The following is a 14,885-nucleotide window of genomic DNA, read 5'->3' as shown; positions in this document are numbered from 1 at the left end:
AGATTGAGAGTGAGCAAGAGAGAGTTGTAAGGAGAGAAACTGAGTAGCAAGGACTGTAAGAGAGACAGACAGTGTCGAGGACACCCCGTGACAAGGAGAGATGGGATGTGTCAGGGCACCCTGGGACAAAGTTCCTGGGACAGATAAAGCCACGGCTGTGCTTCCCTCTCTCCCAGCCACCATGCCCAGCCTTGCAAAGGAAGGCGGGGCCCTCCTATTAAGGTGTCAAAGGTGAACAAGAATGAGGAACAACGCAAATGTCCATTAATAAGGGAGGGGCATAAATTACACAAGATTCATACAATGGAATACTATACAGAAACTGAATTTTAAAATATTGTTTTTAAAAAACCAAAAAAACAAAAGTTTAAAGGAAGAACTCTCCCTTGGGAGATGTGTTAGTCTATTCAGGACGCCACAACAAAATGCCTTAGTGGGTCGTTTATAAGCAATAGAAATTTATCGCTCACAGTTCTGGAGGCTGGGCAGTCCAAGGTCAATGTGCCAGCAGATTCCATGAGGGCCCACCCTCTGCATCACATGTGGCCCCTTCTTGCATCATCTTCGCTTGTTGGAAGGGGTGAACAAGCTCCCTTGGGCCTCCTTTATGAGGGCACTAATCCCAATCATGACAGTGGGGCCCTCATGACCTCGTCAGCTCCCAAAGGCCCCACCTCTTACTATCCCCAAGGTAGGGATTAGGTTTCCACATATGAATCTTCAGACCATAGCAGGAGACAACAGTCCTAATTATGCACAATTTGCTTCAACAGCTTCCCCTGCTCCTTCCTCAGCTTGGCATTTCTGGCGGGTGACCTAAGACAACAGAAGGGTGTCACTAAATCACATTTGGGGCTGTCACCATGGTTTCCAGAGGAGCCTCTGTGAAGCACATGTTTCCGCCTCCCTCATTGGAAGCTGGCCTTGAATCGGGGGCCTTTGGAGGAAGGCAGAAGGTTCTAGTGCAAGGAGGTGAACCCCTTTCCCTCTCACCTCCCCCCATCCCCATCCCTACCCACCCCCCAACACACACACACACACGGCCATGGCTGGGACAGTTAGCAAGTCCTTCCTCCAGCCTGGTCAGACCCAGAGCAGGAAGAGCGCTGTGACAGAGTCCCCTCCCAGAGCCATGCCTCAGCAGGCTATTCCCAGGCTGCTCACAAAGGCCCCATGAAGAACCAGGGCAGGAATCCATTTGCCATGTGCCCCCATTTTCTAGACACGGACACTGAGTCCCAAAAGGTGATGTGACAAGCTGGCTAAGAGCCAGGCCTTCTGCATTCACAGCCTGCCAAGGGGGCCAAGGCGGAGCCACAGTTTCTGCCTGCACAGCAGCCGTTCCCTTCCCTGCTGAGAGGAGGAGGCAGCTCTCCTTTGGTGAACTACAAAGGGATGTTGTTGAAAAGGGATGCTCCCGACCATGAGTGGTCACATGACCCAAGCCTAGCCAATCAGATTCACAGGGAGGGTTTGGGACAAGCTGGGTACCCTAATTTCCACCAATGAGAGTCAGGCCTGGGAGTTTTGCTGGAACCCTTGGTTCTGAGAAGGCCAGCTTCTTGAAAAATGCCCCTGGAGTGTTCTTGGGTTGCTGAAAAGCAGGCCCTGAGAGGAGGCCAGGAGGACAAGGGATATTGGGGGTGATTCCTGTGAAAGATAAAAGGTGGAGGAAGCAGAACTGGGAAGAAAAGCCTTCAGCCCCTGACATGAATCTGACGGCAGCTATCACAGCGAGGTCCGGTAAATTTATATTTATATTTATATTTATGTTTATATTTATAATATTATGAGATATAATACTCATCATCTAAAACATTTTGAGTACCATACTTAAACGTTTTCGTTTTTCCAGACTTGACCTTTGTACATCAAAGGAGGCTTCTTTACACCCCGCACAGCTTGGAAGGAGTCAGTGAGCAGAACTAGGCCCAGCCGCTGCCTTTGGTTTGTCTTCCTCTGAAGGAAAAATACGCCAGCAAAGACAACGTTCTATAACCCCGTTTGAGTGTCTCATTACAATTACATAATGATAATTGCCAGCTTTGTGTTCCATTTGGCAACTTGTTGAAGTAATTGAACAAAGTATAACTAATGAACACTTATAATGAAGTTCATAATTAGGTCCTTGAAACACTTGATATAAAAAAAATTTTCAGATTCTTTTTTTAAAAAAGCTGTACTCAAGTGAGGTGAAGTGAGGCAGACCCAGGAACTGGAGAAAGCTATGAATGGTTCCTCTGGTTTGAAAGGAAGAAAGCCCTGCAAATCATTACCCAGGTAACAGCACTGGACTCCTAGAGCCGATACACTAACTTGAAGGAGATGGTGGATGTGAGTGGCTAACGCGACGCTTGGCAGGCAGTAGGTGAACAAGAAATACTTGTTCCTTCCCTCCTGTTGGGCAGGAAGTTCACTGAGGGTAGACAGTGCTATCCATTACTGTCTATATTCTGTGGGGCCTTGTCTGGGAGACTGACACCCGGAGGTTCTTAGAAAGTGTAGCTAAAAAGAGAATATTGAACCTGCTGCTTCCTGAAGACCTTCTTCCCTGCCACTCAAGATGAACAATAATAGAGGAACCACAGGTCCCACACTCAGATCAGCAAGAGTAGAGCAGACTCTGCAGCTGGCAACCCAACAGCCATTCCCACAATCGAGGTAAAAAATTCAATACCTAAATAGTAACTTCACAGTGGCGAGGCCTGGAAGCCCCACCTTACCCAAGCAACCAAAGTTAACATCCCCAATAATGGGACTAATGAGCATTAGTCCCATTATTGGGACTCTGATGTGTGGCCTCTGATATGACCTACCAAGAAGGCCTCAGCACCACCTCCACACAGTCCTGCCAAAAGTTCATAACTGAATCCAAACATCAGGAGCCATCAGACCACCCAATGGGAAGAGCATGCTGCAAAGTCACTGGCCTGTCCTCTCGAAAACATCAAAGTCATGGAAGGCAAAGAAAGTCCCAGGAAGTTCTTCTGATTCACGGAGAATAAGGAGATGTTTCAATAGAGTGCACTGTGTGATCTGGGCCTTTATTCTGCTATAAAGGACCTTTTTTTTGTTTTCTTTTTTTGAGACGGAGTCTCTCTCTGTTGCCCAGGCTGCAGTGCAGGGCCGCCGTCTCGCCTCACTGCAAGCTCCACCTCCTGGGTTCACGCCATTCTCCTGCCTCAGCCTCCCGAGTAGCTGGGACTACAGGCGCCCGCCACCACGCCTGCTAATTTTTTGTATTTTTAGTAAAGACAGGGTTTCACCATGTTAGCCAGGATGGTCTCGATCTCCTGACCTCGTGATCCGCCCGCCTCGGCCTCCCAAAGTGCTGGGATTACAGGCGTGAGCCACCGTGCCCGGCCAAAGGACATTATTAAGACAATGGGCAGGATCTGAAAAAGGTTAGTAGATTAGATAATAGAAGTTTCCATGTTAATTTCCTGATGATTGTGCTATGGCTATGTAAGAGAATATCCTCATTTTTAGGAATTCACAATGGAGTATTTAGGGACAAAGGGACATTGTGTCTGCAGTTGACTCAAACCATTCAGAAAAAAAAACACATACGTGTGTATGTATGCACATGTGTGTATGTAGGGAGAGAAAAAGATTAAACAAACGTCACATGATGCCAACACTTTGGCAGTTTGAGTGAAGAATATCTAGAACTGTTTATGTTATTATTGAAACTTTTCTTAATTTGAAATTATGTCAAAACACAAAAAGGAAAGGAAAGGAATACAGATACCTGCTTCCCAGTTTCCCCTAGAGCTAGTGGTGGCCAAGAGACACAGTTCTAGCCAATGAAATGGAGGAGAAGGCTGCTGAGGATCTTTCTGGGGATAAATTTTCCTCTGGTAAAATAAGAATGGGCTTCAAAGAGAATTCTCACTGCACTGGCCGCCTCATTGCTTTAAGTATGTGAGGATGTGGTGCCGGGGCTGCAGCAGCCATCTTGTGACCATGAGGAAAAGGCCAAGAAACTCACAAAGCTTTCCCCATGTACGAGTTTCCTTGATACTGTTGCCCCACTTATGAGGTTACATAGGATCATTCAATTCCTGTAATCCTTCAATCCCATTCATCATTCCAGGCCCAATGTCAGAACCTGTATCACTCAGGACCAGGTGGACAGGGCAGCTCCCATGTCAAACATTACCAAAGGGAAAAGAGAGCTTTGGAGACTCTTACATCAGCAATTAAGTGCTGTGGCCTAGAAATGACACGTCCCTTCCACTCACAACTCATTGGCCTTCATAGAACACAGGGCCTAGCCTTGATTCCACAATTCTTATTCTTGAGGGGTCTGCATGCCTAAGTTTTGCCCCTTTTCCTCAACTATAAATTCCTCATGGTAAGTTTTTAAAGATACTGATGCCTAGACTTTTCCCCAAACTATTCAAATCATCAGCTGAAGTCAGGAGTCTGAGACAAGCCTGGGCAACATGGTGAGACCCCGTCTTGACTAAAAACACAAAAATTAGCCAGGCATGTTGGTGCGTGCCTGTAATCCCAGCTACTCGGGAGACTGAGGCATAAGAATCACTTGAACCTGGGAGGCAGAGGGTTGCAGTGAGCCAATATCGCAGCACTGCACTCCAGCCTGAGCGACAAAGTGAGGCTCTGCCTAAAAAATAAAAAAAAATCAGAATCCCTGGGAGTAGGGCCTGGAAATCGGTATTTTACAATTCAGGTATAACATACATTTATAGTCCATAGCAAAAATTTTAACTATACATCTCAAATATTTTTATTACAGTAAAATATACATAACATAAAACTTGCCACTTTACCCATTTTTAAGTGTACGGTTCAGTGGCATTAAGTACATTCACAGTGTTACGCAAAAGTCACCACCATCCATTTCTAGAACCTTTTCATCATCCTAAACAAAAACTATGTACCCATTAAACATGCTCTCCCCATTCCTTCTCCCTCCCCGTCCCTGAATAAGCTCTGGTCTACTTTCTGTCCCTATGAATTTGACTATTCTAGGTACTTCATAGAAATGGAATCATACAGTATTTGTCATTTTGTGACTGATGTTCTGTCACTTACGATAATGTGTTCAAAGTTCATGTACACTATAGTGTCAGAACTTCATTCCTTTTCACATAATATTATGAAATAATATTCATTCCTTTTCATATAATATTATGAAATAAAATGTGTTCTATCCCTACAATAGAATATTATTCAGCCATAAAAAGGAATGAAGTTCTTCTATCTTCTACAATATTCTATTGCAGGGATAGAACACATTTTGTTTATCATTCATCAGTGACAAAAGCTTGGGCTGTCTCTGCCTTTTGGTGATTGTGAATAACGCTGCTACAAACATTAGCATACAAGCATCTGTTTGTGTCCTGGCTTTCAGTTCTTTTGGGTATATACCTAGAAGTGCAATTCCTGGCTCACTGGGTAATTATAAGTTTAACTTTTTGAGGAACCACCAGCGTGTTTCCACAGCAGCTGCCCCAATTTACATTCCCACCAGCAAGACACCAGGGTTCCAGTTTCTCCACACCCTCACCAAAGCCCAGCTGTTTGGTACACATATATGAACTCAAGTAACCACCACGTGGATAAAGACATCTAACATTTCCTGCACCCCAGAAGGTACCCTCATGAGAACTGGTATTGTTGCAAGCTCCCCAGCAGCCAGGGTCAAGAACCATGCCCTAAACTTTTAGTGGTTCTATCTCTGGCAAGGCTGGCTAACTCTCTACCTAAAAATAAACCTCGAGTCTGAAGATGGAACATTAAAAATGACACTGTCACCTTGACAGAGTGGCTAATAATGCCCCAGCGGGCAGGAGCCCATCAATCATGGGCCGCTGCCTTCTGTTTGGAGAGCTGAGGAAGACGCCAAGATGGAAAGGAGGGATGCAGCACAGGACAAGCCTGGGTGGCTGCCTGGGCACGGAAATCCCAGCCCACACCTCCCCAGGCCTCTCCCCAAACTGGGAACAAGAAATCTAGCAGCCAGACAGAAGTGCTGCCTTCCCTGAATTCAATTTGCAAGGTCAATCATGTAAGAACCCAGGCCTAATAGAATTGTCACATCTGTGTCACGGTCATTTACAACGCACTCTTGCCGCGTCTGAACATGAAAGCAATTATGTGATACATACTTTGGCAAGAACCTGAGGTTCCCATCAAGGGGGAGAGAAACACTGTCAAGTCAGGTTATTTAAAGAAAGAAAGAACGAAAAGAAGGAAAGCCACAAAGACACATTCATTAAGAAAATTTGAAAATTTCCACTTCCCTAGAAATCACATAAGAAGACTTAAGAGTCAGAATCCTTTTGAAAGCTCCATTGTCTTAAGAGTATAAATAGCATCTTTTTAGAAACACACAATTTCAATCAAGCTGGAATAATGGGAAGTACCATTCATGGAACGTTGTCTTTTAAAATTTCATGACACATGAAATGATTCTCACTCCAAATCTAATTAGAGGCTCAAGCATATGAGAGTTTGTGACGTCAAAGCGCTTGGAAAACGTACATGTAATTGATCTTCTTCACTGGGGTATGATTTCTTTTAATCAATCTAGATATTCAGGAAGTACCCAAAGAAAGGACCACGAGAAACAGGGTTATCAAAAGAGGGAGTTCTCTATCCTTCTTGGGAGCTCTTTCCAAAAGGGCTGGCCCTAGCCCATGGGATCTTGGGCAAGTTCCTTTAACTTGAGCCTTATTCCCCATCTTCAAAATAGGGATAATGATGACACCTACCTCCTAGGGTTATAGTCAGGATCGTGGCCCCGGAACAGTGCCAAGCATATGGTATGTACTTGAGCAATGTTAGCTATTATTGGCACCAAGTGGCTAAGCCCTAACGGCTCAGCAGAACCCAGCCCAAAGCCCACACAATTGTGACTCCAGCCCCTGAAGCCAGTGGTCTCGGGCCCTGTTGCAAAAGGACAGATCGGCAGACGACACAATAGGAGCCATATCCTTCAGCCACCAGACAGCCCAGGCTGACAAAAAACTTTAGCAACAGGCACAGAGGGGACCCAGGAGTCATTACCAAAACTGCATTTCCCTCCACCCCAGCCTGGGTGAGACATGAGCGCCCACCACCTCCCTCTTCAAATGCCTTCTTTCAAGTGCCAGTTCCCACCAGCAGTCCTTCAGCACTGCTTGCCTGCAGGCCAGGGACTCCTGCCCCAGGCCACTCAAGGTTTCCATCCTACCTGCAGCCTCTGATGGACCATAGAAGGGCACCGTCTCTGCTCTCCCAAGATATTTTTCAAGGAAATGGGCCATTGACGTAGACAGGTGGCACAGCACACTGCTCAAGGAGTCTGCAGCCAGGCTGCCCGGGCTTCAGTCCCCAATCCACTACTGTTGGCTGGCTGACGCTGGGTGGGTCAAACTCTCTGCACCTCAGTTTCCATCCTGTAAAAACAGAGATCATAAAAGCATCTTCTTTCGGTATACTTGGGTGAGTTAACGAGTCTCAGGACAGCCTAAGAGAACCTGAGGGTTTGCTCAAGGAGTGGTTTCCACTCTGCTCCGCCCACACTGTAGACTTTGCAGAAACATGACTATTTTTTAGTAGCCCAAGTTAATCTGTTATGAACTCCCACTCTCGTAGGGATACGAGGTGAATCTGCCATGGGTGAGACTTCCCTTCTTTCCCCAGCGTTGTGCCTAAATTTGGGCAGGAGTGTGTCTCGCCATAGCAGGAGATGGAGGGGACCTGTTCTCACTATCACCTCCCCACTGTGGTGCCCACTGAGGTGGCCTCATTGCTCTCTGGATCTAATCATTGACCCAGGGAGGCCCTTCTGGCAGAGCCTGGGGATGACGATGATGCAGACCCCGCAGGGCGGTCTGAGGGCTGATGAATCAATGCACATGTAGCCCTTAGAACAGGGCCCAGCCATGCTGGTGGTCATTCCATGTTAGCCACTTTGACCTGGCAATCGGGGACCCAAGGAATGTGGGCCCAGCCTTGCCTGATCTTCCCTTTTATTCCAAGAGAAGCTGTGAAATCTCCCAATTTCTAAATTGGCATTGGATCCAAATAAACAGTGATTGTGAGAAGCAAGCAAGATACAGCTGAGGGCTGGATTTGAACCCTTGGCCATTGGGTTGAGACGTCTGTCCCCTGTTGCTAAGTTTGCCATTCATGGCTAGTCCCATTTTACAGATGGAAGAGGTGAGGCCCTGAGTGGTCGAAAAACTTGCAGTATGACCCAGCTGGCTGAGCCAGGACTTGAACCCAGACTGTTGGATCCAGGGTCAGTCCTCTCACACTTGTGCCTCCCATTAACATCCATGGCCTTTAGATAGAGCAGGCTCCTGCTGTCCTCAGCTTCCCTGTGGCTGTACTCGACCTTCTTCTTGTATTTACATCACCAAATCCCTTGTTCCAGTTACTACTGCTGTACAACTATCCAAAAATTTAGTAGCATACAACAGAAGTGATCTTATTATATTTCACAGATTCTATGGGTCAGGAATTCAGTCAGGGCTTGACTGGGTGATTCTTCTGTTCCACGAGGTGTCAACTGAGGTTACTCAATGATATTCAGCTGGCAGATGGCCGATCTGGAGGCTGAAAGATGGCTCCATTCATATGCCTGGTATCTTGGTGGGGATGGCTGGAAGACTGGGCTCTGCTGGGACTTCTGGCCACAGCACCTCCACGTGGCTTTTCCAGCATGGTGCCCCGGGTATGAGACTTCTTAAATGGTAGCAGGCTCCTGCCAGTGAGCATCCCCAAAAGAACCAGGCAGAGCTACCTGGTTTTCCTGGTCCAGCCCGTAAGTCACTGAGCGTCACCTCCGCTATACTTTATAGAACAAACCAGACACCAGCCCACCTAGATTGGTGGGGAGGGGATATAGACATGCCCCTCACCAAAAGAAGTGTCAAAAATTGTGCAGCCGTTTTTCTTTAACTGCCACAACCCCTGAGGTAACTGTAAAGTTCAGGAGGACAACAATTGTATAAGATGGATTTATCTTGGAAGGGGTTGCTTCTCCTCAAAAGGTGGCCTCCCACTTAAATCTCACTGATCCTCAAAACCCAATTCTTTCATCTGCATTCTGTGCAAATAAGCCTCATTTGTCTTCATGACCCGTGAACATGCAGACCCAGAAGAACTTTTTTTTTTTTTTTTTGGAATTCTGATTGGGAACTCTTCCAGGCCAGAGCCAGGCAATTCTTCAATTCTCCGACCGCCCGAAACAAGGCCTGTCTTACCGATTTGCATGCATCCACCATCACTGGGGACCTCATTGCCTGAGGCAAAGGTCCCCAACCTTTTTGGCACCAGGGACCTGTTTCGTGGAAGACAATTTTTCCATGGGGAGAACTGATTGTTTCAGGATGAAAGGCATTAGCTTCTCATAAGGAGCGCACAACCTAGATCCCTGACACGCCTGCAGTTCAAAATAGAGTTTGCGCTCCTAAAAGACTCGAATGCCACGGCTGATCTGACAGGAGGCAGAGGTCAGGCGGTAACGCTCCCTTGCCTGCTACTCACCTCCCACTGTGTGGAGCAGTTCCCAGCAGGCCACTGGACTGGTACTGGTCCACGGCCCGGGGCTTGGGGAGCCCTGGTAAGCCATCCATAGTCAGGCAGCGAATGAGGCAGTGACCTAAACTCACAACTCAGCCGCGGCACTTCTTCCTCACTTGGAATTCTGCCTCCTCACAAAAGCCTCATGACTGCTATTAGGTGGAGGTGCTTGTCATGCCTGAGATTCATCCTCTCCCCTCCAGCCTCAGAGCCCTTATCCTCCCCTGAGGCACCTCCATTCCCCAACCTCAGGTCACGTGTCTCCGTTTGGACTGGCCTCTCCTCCTGCCGCAGGGCAGTCACATGATCCAGGTGCCGCCGATCAGAACCTCCCATTCCCCTGGTCTCCATGATTGGTTCAGAGATAGGCACATGACCTGGGCCAGGCCAATGGGACTCCTCTTCGGGCCTTTTGTTGGAACTTCGGCAAAAAGACAAAGACTGAAGCCTACGCAGAAGGAAGAAGGACGGAGAGATTATAAAATAATAGGAGATAGCATTTACTGAGCACCTGCTATGTGCCCAGCACTATTTTATTGGCAACATGGTTATTTCACTGGCATCACAGCCCCGTGAGATACATAGTATTCTTTTTTCTCTTTTTCGTTTTTGTTTTTTTTTTTTTTTTTTTGGAGATGGAGTCTCACTGTGTCACCCAGGCTGGAGTACAATGGCACAATCTTGGCTCACTGCAACCTCTGCCTCCTGAGTTCAAGCGATTCTCCTGCCTCAGCCTCCCGAGTAGCTGGGATTACAGGAGCCTGCCACCACGCGCGGCTAATTTTTGTATTTTTAGTAGAGATGGGGTTTCACCATGTTGGCCAGGCTGGTCTCGAACTCCTGACCTCAGGTGATCTGCCCGCCTCGGCCTCCCAAAGTGCTGGGATTACAGGCATGAGCCACCACACCCAGCCACGATGCATAGTATTATTAATCCCCACATTTCTAGATGGGAGAAAGGAGGTTCAGAGAAGTTAAGTGACTTGTCTATGGTCACAAAGGAAGAGGCAGAGCCATCACTCACATCCAGGCACTTGGTTCCAGAATAGTGTTCCAGATGTAACAGACCTTCAGGATACCTGGTTATGTTTTAATTTCAGATTAACAATAAATACTTTTTTGGTATAAACACATCCTATGAAATATTTGGGACATTCTTACACTGAAAAACTAGCTATTCATTGTTTTTCTGAAACTTACATTTAACTGGGTGTCCTGTATTTTATCCAGCAACCCAATTCCAGAGCCCATGGTCTTAACCACTATGCCCTACTGCCCATACAGATGCCATGAGAGATGTTGAATCCTGATTACATTGACCCAGCCCTATATCCTGCTGTGCCTGAAGCCAGTGATGAGAGATGGCTTTCTGTCACTTGCCTCTGAAGAGTTCTGACTGACTTAGTGCTATGCCGAATTCAAATGAGCACTTTTTTGAACCCTTACCCTGTAGTTGGGACCAAGGGGTGGGAGATACAGAGGAGATAAAGGAGGAAGATTCCCACCCTCAAGGACCGGAGTGGGGCTGAGAAGACAGAACTCACACATGTGGAGGTGCTAAGTAGAGTGTGCCGCACACTGAGGCCTGGGCCACTGGCCGAGTGTGTTAGTGCTCTATTGCTGCATAATAAATTATCACACACTTAGCAGCGGAAAACAGACCTAGACTCTGTTGTGCTGGGGTGGGAGCAGGAGACAGGCACAGGGAGGCTACAGAGAGAAAGAAGGGGCATGGGAGGAAAGGAGAGAAGGGGCCAGCACCTGTGAAAAGAGGAAACGAAACAGGGCTGGTTGCTGCCTCCAGCTTTTTAAAGGAAACCACCTGCCCGTCCAGGGCCTACCTCCCCAGCCCTCAGTCCTATTACTGTGTGCAGCCGGTTCCGCACCTGAAGGGGTTATATGACCCAGGCCTAATCAATCAACATATTTCCTCCTCCTGGCCAGTGATTGGCTCAGGTTTGGTCATATGATCCAAATAGCCAATAAGCTTCAAGATGGGGACTCACGTTGAAACTACGGGGAGGGGGGGAGGGGATCTTTCTTCCCCTCTTATCACTGTGAGGACATAAGCCTGGAGCTCAAAGAATCCATCTTGCCATCATGAGAGGAGAGTCCATCTGAGAATGTCAACACAGAGGAAGGCAGAGATGAGATGGAGAGAGAGAACACTGATAATGTCATCAGAGCGTCTGGATCCAGCCACACCTGAAGCTAATCCTAGCATTGGAGTTTTCGAAATGGTGAGCCAATTACCCCTTTTCTGCTTGAGCCAGTTGGCGTTGGGGTTTCTGTTACTAGTAGCCAACAAAATACTTAGTCATGACTGAAAAAAACAAACAAAAAAGTGGATGCCAAAAACAAGCAGACCAGGTGCCACAGGTAAATAGTGAGCAGGGTCGGTGAGACTGATAAGCACAGAGCCTGCAAAATGGAAACTGGTCCAAGTCTCGTGGTGCCACTTGACAACCACTCCCTTTGACTCTCCCAACAACCCAACATGACTTGTGATCTCACTGTTTGAGCCAAGGAAAGAAAGAAAGAAGTAGGAGGGAGTCCCAAGATGAAATCTTTTGGAAATAGTCCCAGAGCATAATGAATTGACTAACACCTGTTTCTCCCCTGGAAGTCATCTAATGAAATTATTAGACCATCAATTTACCACTGTGATGGCCAAGAGTGCTCTCCAACGGGATAAACCATGACAACAAAGCCAGAGTTCCAATTGTAATGGGCCTTACACACCTTTTTTTAAAACAATTTTTCCTTTTTTATTTATTTATTTATTTTTTTTTTGAGATGGAGTCTCACTCTGTTGCCTAGGCTGGAGTAGAGTGGAGCAATCTCAGCTCACTGCAACCTTCGCCTCCAGGGTTCAAGTGATTCTCCTGCCTCAGACTCCTGAGTAGCTGGGACCACAGGTGTGCACCACCATGCCTGACTAATTTTTGTGGGTGTTTTTTTTTTTGTTTTTTGGGGGTTTTTTTGTATTTTTAGTAGAGATGGGGTTTCACCATGTTAGCCAGGCTGGTCTCAAACTCGTGACCTCAGGTGATCTGCCTGCCTTGGCCTCCCAAAGTGCCGGGATTACAGGTGTGAGCTGCCATGCCTGGCCATTAAACACCTTCTTAACAGGTCTTTACTTGCCTATGACTCTCTTTGGACACAAATTGGCAGGAAGCTTTTAGAAATCATTTGCACTAATCTAAAAGGCAGTCATGGCTCAGAGAAAAAGAATCTCAGCTCATCAAAGCCAGCTTAGGCTTCTGAGGCCTAATCAGACAGTCTCCTGATCATCTTTGCTATGTGTTCACTGCCTGTCTGCTGGATGGTCAGAACGCTTGTCGTGTTTTGTGCACACATGGTGCTCAGGCACAGTGACAGGAGAAGAGCAAGAAGGGAAGGAGGAAGCTGGTAAGCCGACGTCATGGAGCCACTGGGCTTTCACCAGCCAGCGCCCAGTGCAGACCCACCTGCTGCCCCTACTGAGCCCAGCAAAAGGAACTGCCCTCGGCGCGATCCTCCAAATGCTCATCCAATGATGTCACTGCTCTGGGCGCCCTTAGAATGTGTTCCATGCCCAGCACCACAATCCCACCTCCTCTCCCACTCTCTTGCCCCCTGTATTAGTCAGGGTTCCCTAGAGGAATAGAACTAAGAGGATAGATAGATATAAAGATAGATATATAGATAGATATAAAGGGGAGTTTATTAAGTATTAACTTACGTGATCTCAAGGTCCTACAATAGGCTGTCTGCAAGCTTAAGGAGCAAGGAGAGTCAGTCCGTGTCTCAAAACTGAAGAACTTGGACGTGATGTTCAAGGGCAGGGAGCATCCAGCATGGGAGAAAGACGTAGGCTGGGAGGCTAGGCCAGTCTCGCCTTTTCACGTTTTTCTGCCTGGCAGCTGATTAGATTGTGCCCACCAGATTAAGGGTGGATCTGTCTTCCCCAGCCCACTGACTCAAATGTTAATCTCCTTTGGCAACACCCTCACAGACACACCCAGGATCAATACTTTGCATCCTTCAGTCCAATCAAGTTGACACTCAGTAGTAACCATCACACCCCCATATTCTCCAAATAGGCTTTCTTGTTCCTGTAGTTCAGTTCATTTCCTTCTCAGGACCTCTGGTTGGCTGGTCATCCTACGATCTTCACATGGCAGTGTCAGGCCTCCCAGGCTACAGCTTCAGTGTCACCTAAGGGAGGCCCCCCGACCAATGTGGCTAAAGAGCATCCTGTCCCATCAGACCTCCTCTTGTTTCCTGTTGGCCATCTGTCCCCCTCCACGAGGCATACCCTCTATGGTGCAAAGAGCTCAACTACCCTGGTGATCAGTGGGCCCAAGGATAAGCACAGATGTATCCATTGGACACATGAGTTAGTACCTGGTCCCCTGGCTCTGCAGAACACTGAAGAAAAGCCACTTGATTGGGACATAGAGCTGTCACTGAACTGAGAACCACTGAGGGCACAGGCTGAGGTCCAGTGGCCATGAGCAGCCGCAGTTGGTCAGTGTTCTGTGAGAACAGGGAAATCACCCTGCTTGCCTGCCTGTCGGAATGGGCACTGGGCTTTCAGGATTCAACTTGAACTAGAATAGAAACTACATTCTGACATCCTCACAGCTATGTTCTTTGGGGTTTGGGGATTTGGGTTTTTTTGTTTTTTTTTTTTTTTTGAGACAGGATCTTGCTCTTGTCACCCAGGCTGGAGTGCAGTGGTGCAAATCACAGCTCACTGTAGCCTCAACCTCCCAGGCTCAAGCGATCCTCCTGTATTAGCCTCCTGAGTAGCTAGAAACACAGGTGCATGCCACCACACCCAGCTAATTTTTAAAAGTTTTTTTGTAGTCAGGTCCTCACCATGTTGCCCAACCAGGTCTCAAACTCCTAGACTCAAGCAATCCTCCTGCCTTGGCCTCCTCCCAAAGTGCTAGGATTACAGGCATGAGCCACTGTGCCTGGCTCTTTCGGGTTTTGATAGGCATGCAATCTCAGCTTTAAGGGCACACACGCACACTCATATTCACACACATATGTTCACACACACATACACATACATTCACAAACACACATAAGGCCAAAGTGTTGTAAAAACCGATGCGTTTGCCTCACAAACCTCACAGTCTACCCTTCAAAATACAGAGATGCGAACACAAGCAGCATCGCCTCCGCACACGTGCACACCCACGCCCCACCCCAGCCGATTCTTCATCTCTCCTGGGCGGCAGGACCCAGCGGGGTAACCCCCATCCCAGCTCAAGCAAAGCAGCAGCCGTCCAGGAGAGATGGAGTCGGGCACAGAAGCAGCCAGATTCCTTCATTCCTGTGGGAGGGGC

The 14,885-nt window shown here is 47.5% G+C and overlaps 1 long non-coding RNA gene across 1 annotated transcript, besides 1 other annotated feature; it reads right to left on the bottom strand.

Annotated features, from left to right (window-relative positions):
* Positions 1-309: 309 nt before the first annotated feature.
* Positions 310-9,991, bottom strand: LOC105370053 (uncharacterized). Its single transcript, XR_945492.3, has 3 exons — positions 9,508-9,991; positions 7,205-7,409; positions 310-816 (listed from the first exon to the last, which is right to left on the bottom strand). It is a non-coding gene; the product is annotated as an uncharacterized LOC105370053 (long non-coding RNA).
* Positions 1,235-1,735: an enhancer, noted in NCBI's record as "H3K4me1 hESC enhancer chr12:125644140-125644640 (GRCh37/hg19 assembly coordinates)". NCBI's record gives its function as "activates a minimal SCP1, AML or CMV promoter by ChIP-STARR-seq in naive H9 embryonic stem cells {active_cell/tissue: H9 hESC(naive)}" and the evidence as "EXISTENCE:reporter gene assay evidence [ECO:0000049][PMID:30033119]".
* Positions 9,992-14,885: the final 4,894 nt, after the last annotated feature.

This window comes from Homo sapiens, chromosome 12 (genome assembly GCF_000001405.40).
Source record: "Homo sapiens chromosome 12, GRCh38.p14 Primary Assembly".
Classification (NCBI taxonomy): Eukaryota; Metazoa; Chordata; class Mammalia; order Primates; family Hominidae; genus Homo; species Homo sapiens.
This window is presented reverse-complemented; position numbering and strand designations above follow the sequence as displayed.